Source organism: Homo sapiens, chromosome X, assembly GCF_000001405.40.
Source record: "Homo sapiens chromosome X, GRCh38.p14 Primary Assembly".
NCBI classification, from domain to species: Eukaryota; Metazoa; Chordata; class Mammalia; order Primates; family Hominidae; genus Homo; species Homo sapiens.
This window is the reverse complement of record NC_000023.11, coordinates 115,643,541-115,663,733: the sequence shown is the minus strand read 5'-3', so window position 1 is coordinate 115,663,733 and position 20,193 is coordinate 115,643,541. Positions and strand designations below refer to the sequence as shown.

Below are 20,193 nucleotides of genomic sequence, written 5' to 3'. Positions count from 1 at the left end.
TACCCATACATTTATTTGAAGGCCCCTCCCCAACCAGATAATTATTATTCTTAATTTTTTTATTCCCTAGTTTTTCATTATAGTTTGACTATGGCTATATCTGTACTGATATGCGATTCTTAGTTTTGCATGGTTTTGAGCTTTATACAAAGGGAATCATATAGTATGTGGATTCTTCTGTGACTTTTTTTTTTTTTTTGAGATGGTGTCTCACTCTGTCACTCAGGCTGGAAAGCAGTGGCGTGATCTGGGCTCACTGCAACCTCTGCCTCCCAGGCTCATGCGATTCTCGTGCCTCAGCCTCCTGAGTAGCTGGGATTACAGGCGTGTGCCACCATGCCTAGCTAATTTTTTTGTAGTTTTAGTAGAGACGGGGTTTCACCATGTTGGCCAGGCTGGTCTCAAACTCCTGACCTCAAATGATTCACTGGCCTCGGCCTCCCAAAATGCTGGGATTACAGGTGTGAGCCACTGCAACCAGCCTTCTGTGACTTTTTAACATTATTGAGATTGATCTATAGTAATGCATGTGACTGCAGTTTAGTTATTTTTCATTGCTGTATGGTATTTGAGTATTTCAGTAAATCACAATTTATCCATCCTCTTGCTGATAGAAACTTGGATTGTTGCCAGTTATTTTGCTATTATGAATGCTAGCATAGCATAGCATGTTTCTTGGTATACATGTATAAGATTTCTCTAGGGTATATGCCTAGAAGTGAAACTGTGGGTCATAGGGTAGGTTCATTTTCTTTTCTTTTTTTTCTTTTTCTTTTCTTTTTTTAAATGGAGTCTCGCTCTCTCATCCAGGCTGGAATGCAGTGGTGTGATCTTATCTCGCTGCAACCTCCGCCTCCCGGGTTCAAGCGATTCTCCTGCCTCAGCCTCTCGAGTAGCTGGGATTACAGGTGCCTGCCACCACGCCCAGCTAATTTTTTTTTTTTGTATTTTTAGTAGAAACGGGGTTCCACCATGCTGGCCAGGATGGTCTCGATCTCCTGACCTTGGGATCCACCCACCTTGGCCTCCCAAAGTGCTGGGATTACAGACATGAGCCACTGTGCCCAGCCGGTATGCTCATTTTCAACTTTACTTGATAATGTCCATTTATTTCCATAGTAGTTGTACAAATTTGCACTGCCATCAGAGAATATAAGTGTTCCTATTGCACCACATCTTAGCCAATACTTTATATTATCAGAGTTTTCATTTTCTTTTCTTTCTCTCTCTTTTTTTTTTTTTTTTTTTTTTTGAGATGGAATTTCGCTCTTGTTGCCCAGGCTGGAGTGCATTGGCGTGATCTCGGCTCACCACAACCTCTGCCTCCCAGGTTCAAGTGATTCTCCTACCTCAGCCTCCCGAGTAGCTGGGATTACAAGCATGTGCCACCACACCCGGCTAATTTTGTATTTTTAGTAGAGACAGGGTTTCTCCATGTTGGTCAGGCTGGTCTCGAACTCCCTACCTCAGGTGATCTGCCCACCTCAGCCTCCCAAAGTGCTGGGATTACAGGCGTGAGCCACTGCGCCCGGCCTCAGAGTTTTCATTTTCTTCTAATACGTTATTGAGCTTTGATTTATATTTCTCTGATTCCTAAGTTAAACATTTTCTCATGAGCACAAAATGGACAAAGACAAGCAGATGAAACTTTCTTTTCTTTTCTTTTCTTTTTTTTTTTTTTTTGAGACGGAGTCTCACTCTGTTGCCCAGGCTGGAGTGCAGTGGTGCGATCTTGGCTCACTGCAACCTCCACCTTCTGGGTTCAAGCTATTCTCCTGCCTCAGCCTCCCAAGTAGCTGGGATTACAGGCACATGCCACCACGCCCGGCTGATTTTTTTTGTACGTTTAGTAGAGACAGGGTTTCACCATGTAGGCCAGGCTGGTCTTGAACTCTTGACCTCAGGTGATCCGCCTGCCTCAGCCTCCCATAGTGTTGGAATTACAGGCATAAGCCACCATGCCCGTCCTTCTCTTTCTTTTATAACGACCTTATTCAAATTTTTTCCTCATTTTTTTCTGTCTTTTCTTGTTATTTTTTGAGATGGATTCTCACTCCGTTGCTCAGGCTGGAGTGCAATGGGGCAATCACAGCTCACTGCAGCCTCAACCTCCCTGGTTCAAGCAATCCTCCCACCTCAGCCTCCCAAGTAGCTGGGGTACAGATGCGTGCCACTAAGCCCAGCTAAATATATATATATATATATATACCTATAAAAAATGGGGTCTTGCCATGTTGCCCACGTTGGGTTTTTCCCATTTTTCCTATCAGTTGGTCTTTTTTTTTTTGAGACCGAGTCTCACTGTGTTGTCCAGGCTAGAGTGCAGTGGTGTGATCTTGGCTCACTGCAACTTCTGCCTCCCGGGTTCAAGCAATTCTCGTGCCCCACCCGAGTAGCTGGGACTACAGGCATGAGCCATCATGCCTGGCTAAACTTTTTTTATATTTTTAGTAGAGACAGATGTTTCACCATGTTTGCCAGGCTGGTCTCAAACTCCTGACCTCAGGTGATCTGCCCGCCTCGGACTCCCAAAGTGCTGGGATTACAGGCGTGAGCCACCACGCCTGGCTCATTTTATATTTTGAATACTAATCCTTTGGAGTTTATTTGAAAATATATCCTTTCAGTTTTTGCCTTGTCCTGTCACTATTTCCATAATGTCTTTTGAAGAAGAGAAGATGTAGCCGGGCGCGGTGGCTCACGCCTGTAATCCCAGCACTTTGGGAGGCCGAGGTGGGCGGATCACGAGGTCAGGAGATCAAGACCATCCTGGCCAACATGGTGAAACCTCGTCTCTACTAAAAATACAAAAAAATAAGCTGGGGGTGGTGGCGGGCACCTGTAATCCCAGCTACTCGGGAGGCTGAGGCAGGAGAATGGCGTGAACCTGGGAGGCAGAGCTTGCAGTGAGCCGAGATGGTGCCACTGCACTCCAGCGTGGGCAACAGAGTGAGACTCCGTCTCAAAAAAAAAAAGAAATGTAGAAGAGAAGATGTAAATACAGACAAAAATATAAATTTTAGTATTTACAGCTTGTGAATTTTGTGTATTAAGAAATCTTTCTCTACCTCCAATGTTAGCAAGATATTCTCCTGCATATTTATTTTTTTACCAGCAAATAAACATCAATTTTAATTAATATAATAGCAACAGAAGGGCTTCCAATTTCTCAGAAGGAAAATAACATGAAACCAACACCGCCTGGTAAGTGTTACAAGATTAAATGTCCACATTTCCTGATCTGATAGCTTCCGACCACACACCAAAGTTTTTTCAAGGACAACTTCCACAAGAGCTGCTGCAAGAACACGTTTTTCACTGGGCATAGCTTCACAGTCAACTCCTCAAGCAGAAGACTGAAATATTATCTCTTTTTAGAAGATATTGTTTTAGGGTGAACATATCAATATGGAGAACAGAGCTTTGCTTCTCAAGTTCAAAAAAACCCATGAACGAATCTGTCAATTTTTCTCTGATAACAGTGTACCAGAGTGCTCTGTGGAGAATTCTTTTCCATCCCTACCACACATCTGGCTGAAGAGAGAAAAAGGAGTGGCAAGGTGCTGGTACACTAGCAGGCACTTCTCCTGATGCCCTGGGCTCCACTCCCTTTCTGCTGGTAATAGTAGCCGTCTTTTTTGCCGGCTGCAGCAGCTTGATGTGGAGGAGGAAGGGGCCAACCAACAATCACCTCTTGCCACCCACCAATCACCTCTTCTTGAAGTCACATTTTTTACGTTCATAGAAGAGGTCTTAGAGATCCCCAAATTGGCAATCTTTGGGCAGACATCTCTATCCTTCTCCTGGATGGTGAGCTCCTTACAACAATAGGCATCAGAAACCCCAGGACCTCCACAGATCACACAATGCCCCTGGTAAGATCTATACTTACATTCATCACCTATGCACACCAGGGTGCAAGGATGCACCTATAGGAGTCACAAATCACACACTTGCCATCACATTTTTCACATAGCATCCTGCTTGTGGCAAATGATCAAATCCAGATGATGTTTAGCCATAGCTCCTACGTCTCCCATATATTTAAGTACATTTATAATTTTGCCTTTTAGATATTCACTTTTTTCTTTTTTCTTTTCTTTTTTTTTTTTTTTTTTTTTTTGAGATGGAGTCTTGCTCTGTCACCCCCGCTGGAGTGCAATGGCGCAATCTCGGCTCACTGCAACCTCCGCCTCCCGGAGTCAAGTAATTCTCCTGCCTCAGCCTCCCGAGTAGCTGGGATTACAGGCATGCACCACCACGCCCGGCTAATTTTTGTATTTTTAGTAGAGACAGGGTTTCACCATGTTGGCCAGGCTGGTCTCGAACTCCTGACCTTGTGATCCGCCCACCTTGGCCTCCCAAAGTGCAGGGATTACAGGCGTGAGCCACCGCACCTGGCCTTTTTTTTTTTTTTTTTTTTTTGAGACAGGGTCTCATTCTGTCACCCAGGTTAGAGGGTAGTGGCATGATCTCAGCTCACTGTAACCTCCACCTCCTGGGCTCAGGTGATCCTCCTGCCTCAGCCTCCAGAGTAGGTAGAACTCTAGGCTGGTGCCACCATGCCCAGCTAATTTTTGTATTTTTAGTAGAGATGGGGTCTCGCCATGTTGCCCAGCCTGTTCTCAAACTCCTAGGCTCAAGCGATCCTCCCACTTCAACCTCCCAAATTGTTGGGACTGCAGGCTTGAGCCACCACTCCCAGGCTTTCCCATCATCATGTGTCAAGAAATCAAGCATTTCCTAAGCACCAGCTGATAACAGCTGCTAGGTAGGCTTATCACACTTCTACAGATTTGGCTAATAAAGAGACAATGAGCCCTAAAAGATTCAGACAATGTGTTACTTACACAGACTGCAAAAGCAATTGGCATGGTCTTAGCTCTGTGCAACCCCAGTTCCACAGGAAAATATTGAACCAGAGGGCCAAGCAACAGACAACAGGAGTGGCAGGTCACTATGTTGCTGAAGAGCTGACTCTAGAATGCAACTAAGTGGTCTTATAGACTTCCACTGTACCTTAAAAGAGATTAACGTGGAAAATCCCATGCTTCATTGGAACCAGAAAATTGAATGAAAAACTGCTCATAGCAGCCTCCCACAAGATAGGGAGTCTCTCACAAGATAAGGAGAGAGAACAGAAATATCCTTGTGACAGCTCTTTAGAAGACTATCTTTCCATGTTCTAGGCAAGTTTTGGGTCAGAATGTGGTTGCACGTTGCATATAAGGTCTATGAGGAGATATGCAAGATCTCTGGATTCCATAGCAGAGCTATTCCTCTAAACCATTAATTGCTGGATTTTGAACTTTAGCAAATACTTATTCTGACCACTCTGGTCATGATGTACTTCACATCACTTTTTATAATAAAAAGTGTTTCTGCAGTAGGTTTGCCAATATTGTTTAGAATTTTTACAAGTATAAGTCTGATTACCCTGTAATTCTTTTCTCATACTTTCCTTTTCTGGCTTTGTTAACAAGGTTACGTGGTACCCTGATGAAATGAGATGGGGACTTTCACCTGTCTTTCCAGACTTTGAAACTTTGAAAGATTTTGTTAAAGATGAGATTTATTTATTTATTTATTTATTTCTTAAGAGACGGAATTTTGCTCATTGCCCAGGCTGGATTGCAATGGTGCAATCTCAGTTCACTGCAACCTCTGCCTCCCAGGTTCAAGTGACTCTCCTGCCTCAGCCTCTTGAGTAGCTGGGATTACAGACATGCGCCACCACGCCCAGCTAATTTTGTATTTTTAGTAGAGACGGGGTTTCACTATGTTGGTTAGGCTGGTCTCGAACTCCTGACCTCAGGTGATCCACCTGCCTTGGCCTCCCAAAGTGCTGGGATTAGAGGCGTGAACCACCATGCCCGGCCTGAGAATTATTATTTTTTTTGAATGGTAAAATTCAGTAGTAAAATCATATGGTCGCCATGCTTTTCTTTGTTGGAAGATTTTTAATACAGATTAAAATTTTGAGTTATGGAACTGTTCACATTTTTTATTACTTATTGAGTCTTTTACAGTATGTTGCATTTCTAGTTATTTGTCCACTTCATTCAAATTTGCAATTTTATCATGAATTTTTTGTGTTTTTTTTGAGGCAGAGTGTCACTCTGTCATCCAGGCTGGAATGCAGTGGCGTGATCTCGGCTCACTGCAACCTCCGATTCCCAGGTTCAAGCAATTCTCCTGCCTCAGCCTCTCGAGTAGCTGGGATTACAGATGTGTGCCACCATGCCTGGCTAATTTTTGTATTTTTTGTAGAGACGGGGTTTTGCCATGTTGATCAGGCTGGACTCAAACTCCCGACCTCAAGCCATCTGCCTGCCTCCGCCTCCCAAAGTGCTCGGATTACCGGTGTGAGCCACCGCGCCCAGCCTATCATGAATTTTTCATAATATCTTATTACCAGTTCAAACAGCGACTGTATCTGCATATCTACTTTAAAAAAATTTTTAACTTCAATTAATTTTATTTTTGAGACAAAGTCTTCCTCTGTTGTCCAGGCTGAGGTGCAGTACAGTGATCTTGGCTTATAGTAGCCTCTGCCTTCTATTCTCAAATGATCCTCCCACCTCCACCTCCTGAATAGCTGAACTACAGGACTATGCCACCACACTAGGCTAATTTCTCCAAATCTTTTGTAGAGATGAGGTATATTGCCCAGGCTGGTCTCGAACTCCTGGGCTCAAGCAATCCTCCCACCTTGGCGTCCCCAAAGTAGTGGAATTACAGGCGTGAGCCACCATGCCCAGCCTTTTTTATTTTTAATGTTTTTCACGCTTTTCCTCTTCTTTCTTGATCAATCTTGCTAAGGTTTATACATTTCATTAAGGTTTTCAATGAGCCAAATTTTGGTTTATTCATCTGCTTTATCATGCGTTTCCTATTTTATTATTTTCTGCTTTATTATTTCCCTCCTTTGCAGTTATGATTTTTTAACCTAAAAAAATGGATGCTTAGCTCATTAGTATTCAGCCTTTCTTCTCTCGTATGAACTTAATGGTCACTGAGCACCCACAATTTCTGATACATGCTATATGATTGTTAACGTAGGGAAAAATACCTAATTATAGTGGATCCAAGAGAGATTGAGAGTAGAGGAAATGGAAATAGAAAGTAAAGACTAATTTCAGGCTGGGTGAGGTGGCTCACACCTGTAATCCCAGCACTTTAGGAGGCCGAGGCGAGTGAATCACTAGAGGTCAGGAGTTCGAGACCAGCCTGGCCAACATGGTGAAACCCCCGTCTCTACTAAAACAAATACAAAAATTAGCCTGGTGTGCTGGTATGCACCTGTAATCCCAGCTACTCAGGAGGCTGAGGCAGGAGAATCTCTTGAACCTGGGAGGCAGAGGTTGCAGTGAGCTGAGATCATGCCACTGCACTCCAGCCTGGGTGACAGAGCAAGACTCTGTCTCAAAAAAAAAAAAGAAAGAAAGAAAGTAAAGACTAATTTTTGAAGTTTTTATGGAAGGGAGAGTAGAGAAAAGTGGCAGTAGCTGGAGAATAATGTGTGATCCAGGGAGAATGATCAGCCAAATACATTAAATTTAATGAGATGCAAACCATTCAAGTCACACATATATTCTTACAGAATTAGCAGACATTCTGCTTAGAATAAATGAGAGACCTTTGTGCATATTTAAATTGTTGGCCATTTGGTTCCTCACACCATATCGTGATTGCATTTCATCCTCCAACTCCAGCTCAAGGTATAGGCAACAACAGTATAAATTCAGAGTTAGTGTGAGCATGTGTGTTTTGCATATCTCTTGCTAAAAAAAGTAGCTCAAATTTACTGGCATCTCATTTAGTCAAAATATATGTGTATGTGTGTGTGTGTGCATGTGTAAACAATGTGTGCTTGTATATTTGTGGGTACACAATTTGAGAATGGCATTGAGTAGTAAGAGACAGGGCTAGACAGGAATCAGATCACAAAGTCACTTACTAAGAAGGTTAAATTTTATCAAGTATGTGACATTTCTTGGTGTGAGAGGTAAAATTCTAGTCTAGACTCTTGATAAGCTCACCAAGGTCTAGTAGCAAGTAAGGCTCAACTCATGGGACCTTGTAAAAAGAGTCCCGGAAAGGGAAATAAAGGCTTTCTCAGATGAAGTAAACCTCAGAGAATTTTTTACTAGAAGACCTGTTATTAAACAATGGCTAACAGGCTAAAGGGAGTTTTCCAAAGAGAAAGGAAACTATAACCTAAGGATGCTGAGACCCCAGGAAGAAAGAAAGAAAAATAGAATGGTTATGACAGAGGTAAATATAATAAACTAAGCTTCTCTTCATGCTTTTTAAAGGTACTATTTGAGAGTTGAAGCCAAATTTATATCATCTAACACGGTGCTCAATGTATGTAGAGAAACTGCTTAAAGCATTTATATTTATTTAACAGGTAGAGAGAGTCAAGTGATCTAAATGAAAGTGAGGTACTTCACTTGAGGTGCTAAAATCTTGCTTAGTAATAGACTGTGATATGGTACATATGTATATACTAACACCTAGAGCAAGTCCTTAAAAAATAAGACATATTTGGCCGGACGAGGTAGCTCATGCCTGTAATCCCAGCACTTTGCAAGGCTAAGGCAGGAAGATTGCTTGAGCCCAGGAGTTAGAGACCAGCGTGGGCAACATGTCAAAACCTCGTTTCTACCAAAACAAACAAACAACAACAGCAACAAAACTAATTAGCTGAATGTGGTGGCATGAGCCTGTAGTCCTAGCTACTCGGGAGGCTGAGCGGGGAGGATCACTTGAGCTCGGGAGGAGGTTGAGACTGCAGTGGTGCCGTGATAGTGCCACTGCTCTCCAGCCTGGATGACAGAGCAAGACTGTCTCAAAAAATAAAAATAAAAAGAGAACTATATTCAAGAACACTATTGACATATCAAAATGGAATTTTAAAAAACGTTCAAGTGACTCATCAAAAGATAAGAGGCAGGGAACAGAAGGACAAAAAGTGGAGCAAGCAAACATAAACTAAATAATAAAATGGCACACTTATGCCTTAACATATCAATAATTACTTTCAAAGTAAATAATGTCTAACTATTAATAATTAAGGCCGGGTGCAGTGGCTAACAGCCGGGCATGGTGGCTCACACCTGTAATCTCAGCACTTTGGGAGGCTGGGGTCAGGAGTTCGAGACCAGCCTGCCCAACATGGTGAAACCCCATCTCTACTAAAAATACAAAAATTACCTGAGCGTGGTGGGCTGAGGCAGGAAAATCGCTTGAAGCTGGGAGGCGGAGGTTGCAGTCAGCCGAGATTACACCACTTCACTCCAGACTGGGCAACAGAGGAGACTCCATCTCAAAAAAAAAAAAAAAAAAAAAAAAAAGGAATGGCCGGGTGCAGTGGCTCATGCCTGTGAAATCCCAGCACTTTGGGAGGCTGAGGCGGGTGGACCACCTGAGGTCAGGAGTTCGAGACCAGCCTGGCCAACATGGTAAAACCCCATCTCCACTAAAAATACAAAATTAGCCGGGCATGGTGGCACATGCCTGTAATCTCAGCTACTCAGGAGGCTGAGGTGGGAGAATCACTTGAACCCAGGAGGCGGAGGTTGCAGTGAGCTGAGCTCGCGCCACTGCACTCCAGTCTGGGCGACAAGAGTAAAACTCCATCTCAAAACAAACAAACAAGCAAAAAATTAAAACACAGATAAAAACACATGACCCAACGATATGCAATCTACATGAAACTCACTTCAAGCATAATGAATGCAGCTCGAAAATAAAAGAATAGAAAATGACAATTATGTAAACATTAAAAAGCAGGAATGGCTAGGCTATATTAATATCACATAAAGTAGAATACAGAGCAAAGAAAATTACTGGGGACTAGGAGTGACATTATGTAATCAGAAAAAGATCAATTAGCTAAAAAGAAATGGTGACCCTAAATGTGTAAGCACCAAACAACACAGTCTCAAAATACATAAAAACTGAGCAGGGTGTGGCCGGACATGGTGGCTCATGCCTATAATCCCAGCACTTTGGGAGTCCAAGGCTGGTGGATCACCTGAGGTCAGGAGTTCGAGACCAGCCTGGCCAACATGGTGAAATTCTGTATCTACTAAAAATAGAAAAAAAAAAAATTAGCAGGGAGTGGTGGTGGGCACCTGTAATCACAGCTACTGAGAAGGCTGAGGCAGGAGAATTGCTTGAACCCGGAAAAGGCGGTTGCCGCAAGCCAACGCCATTGCACTCCAGCCTGGGCAACACAGTGAGACTCTGTCTCAACAACAACAACAAAAAACAAAATAAAACTGATATGGCTGAAAGGAGAAATAGATAATTCTGTATGGGTAGTTTATTGAGGTTAGTGGCTTTTTACGGTTGTCTTGGACAGATGCTACAACAACAACAACAAAAAAAGAGCAGAACACATTCAAAGAAAGCAGAAAGATGGAAATCATAAAGATAAAACCATACATCAATAAAATAGAAAAACAAAAACAAAGAAACAAAAAGCTAGTTCTTAAAAAAAGTAATGAAATTGATAAACTTCTAGCAAGACTGACAAAGGTTAAAAAGAGAGAAGACATAAATCACCACTGTGAGGAATCAAACTGAAGATATCATTACATATCCTGCAGCTATTAAAAAGATAATTAAGGAAATACTACGAAAACTTTATGGTCACAAATTCAGCAACATGGAAGAAGTGAACAAATTCCTCAAAATTCAAAAGCCACCCAAAACGCAATCAAGATTAAATAGATAATCTGAATAGCCCCATAACCATTAAAGAAATATCTCCAGGTTTGGACACTTTTACTGGAGACTTGCACCAAACATTTAAATAAAAATTAACGTCATTCTGAGCTTAGATGCAAAAATCCTCAATAAAATATTAGCAAATAAAATTCAACAATGAATAAGAATTATACACTGACCAAGTGGGATTTATTCAGGCATGCAAGGTTTGTTTAATCTTTGGAAACTAATCAATGTAATCCACCGTATCAATAGGGTAAAGAAGAAAATTTTATGATGATATAAATTGATGCAGAAAAAGCATTTGATAAAATCTACCCACCCATTCATGACAAAAATTTAAAAAATCAATCTCTCAGCATATTAGGATAGAGGGGGAATATCATCTTTATTTTCTTTAAGAGATGGAGTCTTGCAGCCCAGTTTAGGATGCAATGGTTCTATCACAACTCACTGCAGCCTTGATCAACTGAACTAAGTGATTCTCCTGCCTAAGCTTCCCAAGTAGCTGAGACCACAGGTATGCACCACCATGCTCAGCTAATTTTTTTTTTTTTCGAGATGGAGTTTAGCTCTTTCACCCAGGCTGGAATGCAGTGGCGCAATCTCGGCTCACATCAACTTCTGCCCGCAGTGTTCAAGTGATTCTCCTGCCTAAGCCTCCCGAGTAGCTGGTGGGACACATTATGGTGTCCACCACCATGCCTGGCTAATTTTTGTATTTTTGTAGAGATGGGGTTTCACTATGTTGCCCAGGCTGGTCTCAAACTCCTCACCTCAGGTGATCCACCCACCTTGGTCTCCCAAAGTGTTGGGATTACAAGCTTGAGCCACCGCACCCAGCCTCATGCTTAGCTAACTTTATTATACAGACGGAGTCTCCCCGTGTTGTCCAGGCTGGTCTCAAACTCCTGGCCTCAAGAAATCCTCCTACTTCAGCCTCCCAAAGTGCTGAAGTTACAGGTGTGTGGGGAAAAGATGGGGGATTCACCATGTTGGTAGAGATGGGGATTCACCGTGTTGCCCAGGCTGATCTTGAGCTCCTGAGCTCAGGCAGTCCACCTGCCTCAGCCTTCCAAATTGCTGGGATTACAGTTATGAGCTACCACGCCCAGCAGAATTCTGAATGTGTTGCTAATTTTGGTCCACATTCTTATTTGTTGAAATTAGTTTTTGGAGGAAAAAAATTGTGTGTCAGGTCCACTGCTTTATATGAACACTTAACTATCCCATGGTACACTCCTACAGGCTGTGGGCCCTGTATAGTGAACCACCCAAGAAATCAGCTCCTTTTTTGAAGAAAGGGCCACATGTAATATATCTTTCCTATCTTGTTAAAGAGGCACTTCAAGGCGTTAGGGCTTACAGAGAAGAACCTTTGTACTTCGACGAAGATGAACGTGAATGAGTATGGCAGATTCAAGGCATAAGACAGGTCTTAAGATGTAATTGTCCTTACTTCATCAGTTACCCTAGTATGTTTGCAGATTTGTCTTTTTTTCACTCATAAATCCTATTTTTATATTAAAAGAATCTATAATCTGAGACTGAACTCACTTTTTTAGTTATCTATATTTTGATCTTTTTTATTATACATATATATTTGCAAAAGTAGAGTTGTCAAATATATCCTTTTTTAATTTTATGTCTTTGGAATTCAGGTGATATTTAAAAAGGCCTTTCCATCTCTCAGATTATAAATGCAAAGTATTATATAGTATCTCTATGTAACCAAATCCTCAGTAGACTACACCTTATATTACTCATTCACACAAAGGCTTAAATGGGCACTGATTGTCCACAAGGGATGATTTTGCCACCCAGGAGACATTTGGTTATGTCTGGAGACAATTTTGGTCAACACCACCGGGCATGTGCTGACATCTAGTGGGTAGAGGCCGGTAATACTGCTAAACCTCCTACAATGCACAGGGTAGCCCCTTCTCCCCACCCCAACAGAGTTATCCAGCCAAAAATGTCATATATGGATGAGATTGAGAAGATCTACTATGAACCATTTCTCCTCTGTGACTGTTCAGATCCCCACTGTTTCAGGATATGTATATCATAGAACATTGAAAAGACTGAGGGAGGTGGAAAAGAAAGAAAAAAGCAGGAACTGGATAAAGAAATTTTGGTAAATTGGAGAAAACCTTTTTACTTCATTTGTACTGTCCTTAATTCAGTACCTCTAATTCAGCTCCCAAAACTCAAATTTAACAAACACCATTTTACAGAATACATCAGAAAAACAAAAAGAAAAAAATCCTGACAAACATTGGCATACTTCCTAAGAGACAAAAGCATGAAGAACAGACTAATTATTATGTAAATGCCTTTATTTGAACTACTACATTGCTACCAGATTACATCACTTTTCAGAGTTAGAGTAACATAATACCTTGGAAACTATAGCAAACAGCTTGACAAAGCAAGAGTACATTAATTCCTACATATATACTTTTATTTTTAGTGACCACATTTCTTTGTTTCAGGTGTAAAATTAAAAAATATATTGTACACTTAGCATACTTGGCCTACCAAATCCCGTCTAAGTTCTGAGCACACTCTCTCCTCAAAAGTATCATATTCAACAGCATTTTAAATTTAGAGAGAGAGTTTGATGATACAGGTTTTAAAACAAATAAGCATGTATTGAACCAAGTGATTTAAGACAAAATATTTCAATTGTTTACAGCTTGGGTATGAGAGGGAAGATGCAAATTTAAGGTACATTTTTCTTCTAGCTACGATGTATGTTTTACTTACTTGAAGACCCCTTAAAAAAAGTAGCAAAATCAGCAGTCTTGTTTAATATAATCAAAATATTCTTAAATGTACAAAAAAGGATCATGTAGAAAGAATACTGTAAAAAGATACTGATCTTAAGAATAAAAGAATAAGAAAAGCTTCTATTACATTCTGCACAGCCAGTTACTTCGGCAAATTTTCAGTACTACAAAGATAAGCAAAGGATACTCATATCCAAATACGCTCTGACCATAGTTCTCGAATAAGAACTAGCATACTGGATGGAAAGCAAAATTACTGTCTAATAATATTCATATCCCATCATCTAAGCAAGTCCCAAGAGAGGGACATTCTAAGAGGGCAAAAGATAACAGAGCAAGAAATAACATACAGCAATGGGAAATGTCAAGGGCAGCATTCTAGGAGGAGAGAGTAAAATGTTTTGGCTATGAGCACATTTCAGGCGTGCCTGACAAATTCAACTCTGACTATGGGAAAGAGGAGTTGTTTTTCTTAAACCCTTTCCCCTGAGGGCTCTCATGATAAGCTAGTCCTGTTAATCAAAATGAAAAGTCCTTTGAATGGCCAAGAGTTCCTTAAGCCATAAGCACTTCACCTGGAAATAGCTGACCTGCGAATCATGCACCTGGGAGCATGGCTGTTTTATTCAGATTGGTTATTTTACACTCTCTTCATTCCCCTGCCCATCAAACATGCAAACACAGTCATGACCATCTTGGGCTTTACTTCCACAAGGTCTTCAGGGAGAGCATACACTCTGGCTCCGATTCTTCTAGCCATTGACACTGCATACCTATTTTAGGGGGAAACAAAATCAGGATGAAATTCTTGTCAGTTAAGGACACCACGTAAGACATCTATTTCCTCATATATAATTATTATGCTGGGATGCAAAAATTCCATATTGATAGTTCCAATTAGAACAGTTTTGCTTTTTGTTTTCTTTTGATTTGGGTTTTGATTTCACTTTGAAGTTACAGTAGGTTTTTAAGCTCTATTATTTGGGGCTAATAATATTTATTCACTCTTTTTCTCCAATGTGAGGTGAGAATTAAGCTTGAAGCACCAACTTTATATATATAATTACCTAGGCTGTCTATACAATCCATGTTAATATTCTCATTGCACACATAATAACACACACTCAAGTCATCTTAGAGATATGAGGTGGAAAATCATGCTAGATGCAAAACCCAAGTTGTTAGGCAGATGCAATGAATACTTCCAAGTATTCATGAGAGGGGAGACAGTCTACGTGGTACGTGGACAGAGTGGCTGGACCAAAAACTAGAAAAGGTAGACGAAGGGACAGAAGAACTGAGATGTCCAGGTAGGGAAATTTTCAGGAACACATCTCAACTAATCCGTGAAGTATTTCTAGGTGTGTTGGAACCAGAATCTTTAAAGATAATTAAATCATCGAGTTTCTAGAAAAAGAGATTTCAAGAGTTCTTGATATATTGTGGATATTAGACCTTTGTCATATCTGCTAGAAATATTTTTCAAGGAAAAAAGAAATAATGTGCCTAACTCCAAAGTTTTGCAGGAATGCTTCTTAGCTGTTCGGTAATGCAGGACTGTGGATGGATTTTCAATGTCTAACTAGTAAGGTTTTCATGGGTCACCCATGAAGCCAGGTCACACTCTAGGCCTTTGGTGAAGAAGAAAATAGGCTGGTGGAAAAGACCTTCTGAATATTGTTGAAATGCAAGAAACTTTCAAGGCATAGTCTTCTGTGGAGGGCTAGCAAGCATTCTGTTAATATGGGAACTGATGAAGATAAATTCAATAAATGTAGTAAGAATGATCTATGTATAGTAAAAGAGACATAAGTGGATAATGCGTTTTTTAAAAAAAGAATGAGACAGACAGATGAACACCCTAAGCTCTTATTTTCCTTGTAAAGTTTTACCTGATTTGCATTAAAATACATGCTACATTATTTCTGTAATCCACTGAAGCAACAACCGACTAAGCACCTAGTAGGCCAAGCACAAGGCTAGGCTCTTATAATTTTTAAAAATTTAATCTTTATAAAATCTAAGGTAAGTATTATTGCCCCCAGTTTATTGATGAGGAATCTGAGGCTCCAAGAGGTTTCTCCCAAGGTGACACCACTCTTAAATGGCAGAACCTGAATTAGAATTCAGATCTGTCCAGCTACAAAGCTGCGTTCTTTTCATACTATTAGCAGTCTCCCTTACTTGGCATTATTGTGCTTGTCATCTTCTGTTAGATTGCCACTCTTCACAAGGTCATAGTTTATACAGCCTGGCTGGATGGCATCAATTAAATCCACAACTGCCAAACTGGAGCTGATCGTCTTGTCCTAGTGTGAAAGGAGAACAAATCTGAGAATTTTGATACATACAAATTAACATGTGCTTACTTATATCAAGTGCCAAAAACAAAGCCCAGTGAATTCGTAAAGAATTGTGCCATTAGCCCAACACTAATTCTCACTCACAAAGAAGCCAAAAGTTGCCTTCCCAAATGATAGATGTTATCCAGCAAACATAATATTTAATAGTCAAATATGGATTCTGACCTTAAAACTCTGAATGGAAGTTGATTTTCCAGCTTCACTCAACGTTCTGTTCACCCAGTTCACAATGATGTCGTCATTGGCTTTCTGACCATCTCCAAGATCTTCCAGGACATTGAGGGTATATCTAAGAGAGGCAGCAGAAGAAAACGTCACCATCTACTTTATGAGGAAAAATGCAAACATCAGAAAGATGCTTTATCTTCCACTTTTTATATTTCTTAAATTTTTCTTCTTTTTTTTGAGACGGAGTCTCGCTCTGTCGCCCAGGCTGGAGTGCAGTGGCGCAATCTCCTGCTCACTGCAAGCTCCGCCTCCCGGGTTCACACCATTCTCCTGCCTCAGCTTCCTGAGTAGCTGGGACTACAGGTGCCCACCACCACGCCCGGCTAATTTTTTATATTTTTAGTAGGGACAGGGTTTCACCGTGTAGCCAGGATGGTCTTGATCTCCTGACCTCGTGATCCACCCTCCTTGGCCTCCCAAAGTGCTGGTATTACAGGCGTGAGCCACCACTCCTGGCCCCTATATTCCTTAAATTTCAAGGACTAAAGATTTCATGGAAAGAGATTCACACTATGTGAAAAAAATATTTCAAGCAGTAGTGGCTTGCTACTGATCTACTCTTTGTAGTGGTGAGAGAGGAGCAGATTGACAGTGCTTTAATGAGCAGGTCCAACAGCCCACTGTAGGCACATTTTGTACTATTCCAATAGCGGTAATGGCATAAAATAAGCTGTGCTTTGGCTGGTGCCCAGTCATAATGAATGCTTTTCAGCATTATAGTGATCTTCATCAGCATTACAGAGAGAGATCTTTATTTTCAAATGAGCATGAAGATGTTCATAATTTTGTTCTGACAATTTTTTAATTCACTGACACTAAACGAGGCCGAAATCTGTGTGTCAGGCTTCCTATTTTTTAAAAAAGGGACTAACCATAGTTCTGCTGCCTAACTTGCAAGGAAGCATCTCCCACTTAACATCCAACATATATTCATTAATTAAACTCATTTCGGAGTGTAAATATAACATATTTCAAAAGTGTAGTTATCGACATATCCACTTATTAAACACAGTAAGGACTAAATCACAGACCTGTATGATAGTAAAGACTAAACAGCTAAAATTGTGTACTATACCTTCTCATCAGCTGCCAGACTAAAGCTAAAGTCAGGGTTTGGTTCCCATCATTCAGGTCTTGCCCTCCAATGCCAACCAGGGAGAATTTAGCAGGATGCTTCCCTAATTCAACAGCATAGTTGCAGTTTTCTAGCTGCAAAGGCACAAGAGTAAATGGTTAAAGACTTCCATTTGTTTAATCTGCATACGTGTGTGTGTGTCTTGTATAATGCTAGGTATCAGCACACAAAAACAAATAAGACACAGTTTTGTCCTCAAGAAGCTCAGCGTCAAGAGTTTTAGAAACAAAAGAAATTAATCGAGAATAAAAATACTCTAACAAATATATACAGCAACTTAATTATCTACCTTTTTCATGTTGGCTCCCAGTTTCGGGTATGGAGGTTTATTAACCTTACTCCAGTCAACAGGAACTTTAATTCGTTCATATAACTGTAAGATTACCAGGGCATCTTGCAGGTCACTAATGATTTAAAAATAATGTAATCAGTGTTTTCAGGAAGCTGGGACTTGACTTTCCTTAAAAACAGTAACACTACATTGTCAAACAAGATATATAAAACCATAAATAATACCCAAGACTCATATTTTCTATCAATCTGTGCTGAAAACAGAGCTAAGACCATCCCATTCATTTATAAGTATTTATTGAGAGCTTACTGTAAGCAAGGCACTGTTCTAGAGGCTGGGCCCACAGGACAAAAATCCCTGTCCTTGCATTAGAGTCAGAGAGATAGACAATAAACAAGTACATGGATAAACAAACAATACGGGGGGTATTGGTTTGTTGACAATAAACAAACAATTTTAGGGGTGTATGTAAGTGCTATTAAGAAAAAAAGGAACTAGGGTTAGGGGTTAGAGAGTAGCAGGTGGTAGTCAGGAAATCTTTGAATCAGTGACTGGAATACAGTAAGGATACGAGCCACTATATGCGAGCAAAGAACGTTCCAGGCTGAGAGAACAATGAACCAAAGTCCCTGAGTTGTTGTGGATGGTCTACTTAAAGGATTCCCTGGTCTCTGTTTCTTTCTTTTTTACCTTTCTTTTTTTTTCCCTCTTAGAGATAGGATCTCACTTTGTTGCCCAGGCTGGAGTACAGTGGCACAACCATAGCTCACTGAAGCCTCAAACTCCTGGGCTCAAGCAATGCCCCCACCTCAACCTCCCAAACAGCTGTTTCAAAATATAAAGTATTTGCTCCCTAGGGTACTATAAAGACATTTATATATTCTATCACTTACAGTTAACGATCATGTAAAGGAATACTTAAAGCTTTTGTGTATTTGGAAAATGATGATGGAAATCACCACTTGACATTTTCCAATATAAATAATAGCTACAAATTAATATCTAGAAAATCTTTAGAGCTGTCATTATTTAACATCCATTCATGACATTCGTAACTGTTTACAATAGCAGTAGGAAGGCTTACGCATAGAGATGGTTTACGTGAGGATTGACACCAAGAGAGTTCATCCAGTTACGGAAGGTTCTTTCTTCACGAGTTTCTCCTGTTAAGAATATTCACAAAATTTACTGATTCATTAAACACTTTATGTATGTGCATATAGTGCCAATACACATATTAGATTATTTTATCTCTCTATTCAGATCTAGAATTTTTCGATAATACGAGTTTCCAAGCATTCTTCTAAGTACATACATTCTCTCTAGGTACAGGCTTATTTTTAAAATTTGAATTTATTTTAAAATTAAAGAATACAACCTTATTCTAACCAGTTAAGCAATTTAGAGGTTTATGAACTTTTTATAGTCTCCTTCTCAAATCTTTCTCCAATATTTCCTCGAATCTGCATCCCTCAAAGTAACTGATGTTATCAGTTAAGTTACTGGTTTTATAGAAATATCAGTGGACACTCAATGAATTACTATTTGCATTATTTATTTATTTATTTATTTATTTATTTATTTTTGAGATGGAGGTTTGCTCTTGTTGCCTAAGCTGGAGTGCAATGGCACGATCTCAGCTCACTACAACCTCTGCCTCCCAGGTTCAAGGGATTCTCCTGCTTCAGCCTCCCGAGTATCTGGATTACAGGTGCGCACCACAATGCCTGCCTAATTTTTTGTATTTTTAGTGGAAACGGGGTTTCACCATGTTAGCCAGGCTGGTCTCGAACTCCTGACCTTAGGTGATCTGGCCACCTTGGCCTCCCAAAGTGCTGGGATTACAGTCGTGAGCCACCGCGCCTGGCTGCATTTCTTAATTTTTATAGACTACGCTTCACACATATATAATCTGGAAAAGGTAAACTCTGCCTTTCCAAAACTTAAAAAAAAATTAGTATATATTATCATTTGTTTCTTGAGGAGGTAAAGGTGAAAGGAGTTGGGGTTAGTTCCAGTTACATTGACTGTGGATGAATGAAACATAAATATATGCTAAATTTACAGGTCAAACTGAATGCATATGTGCACTTTTTCCTGGTGAGAGGATTAAAAAGTGGTCTAACCCTAAATATTAAAACTAAATACTGATTTACTAAGTGGCTTTACATTAAGCGACTCGACTACTTTTTATTTTTTTTATTTATTTTTTGAGATGGAGTCTTACTCTGTTGCCCAGGCTGGAGTGCAATAGCGCGATCTCGGCTCACTGTAACCTCCGTCTCCCAGATTCAAGTGATTCTCCTGCCTCAGCCTCCCGAGTAGCTGGGATTACAGGCATGTGCCACCACGCCCCAGCTAATTTTTTAATTTTTCGTAGAGACGGGGTTTCACCATGTTGGTCAGGCTGGTCTCAAACTACTGACCTCAGGTGATCCGCCCATGTCGGCCTCCCAAAGTGCTGGGATTACAGCTGTGAGCCACCGTGCCCGGCCTCGACTACTTTACTTTAAAAGTTCACTTGTATCGTACTTTCCTGCCAGTTTTTACTCAGCATCTGCCATCTACTTCTTGTAGATATAAAAAAACTTATTAAGTCTAGATTGTAAAATCATTGTGGCCTATGTATTTCTACTCTATAGT

General features: G+C 40.5%; 1 protein-coding gene and 1 pseudogene across 11 annotated transcripts in view; one reads left to right on the top strand and one right to left on the bottom strand.

Moving 5' to 3' along the window:
- Positions 3,222–4,030, top strand: PHF5AP4 (PHF5A pseudogene 4; annotated as a pseudogene).
- PLS3 (plastin 3) overlaps positions 12,873–20,193 on the bottom strand; it is an 89,688-nt gene continuing 82,367 nt past the window's right edge. For all 11 annotated transcript variants that reach the window (NM_001282337.2, NM_005032.7, XM_047442172.1 and 8 more), the window contains 6 exons: positions 18,635–18,713; positions 17,548–17,662; positions 17,199–17,332; positions 16,061–16,184; positions 15,717–15,841; positions 12,873–14,305 (listed from right to left, as the gene is read on the bottom strand). In NM_001282337.2, the coding sequence (NP_001269266.1) occupies positions 14,173–14,305; positions 15,717–15,841; positions 16,061–16,184; positions 17,199–17,332; positions 17,548–17,662; positions 18,635–18,713 (710 nt within the window). In that variant the 3' untranslated portion in view covers positions 12,873–14,172. The remainder of the gene's footprint in view (positions 14,306–15,716; positions 15,842–16,060; positions 16,185–17,198; positions 17,333–17,547; positions 17,663–18,634; positions 18,714–20,193) is intronic.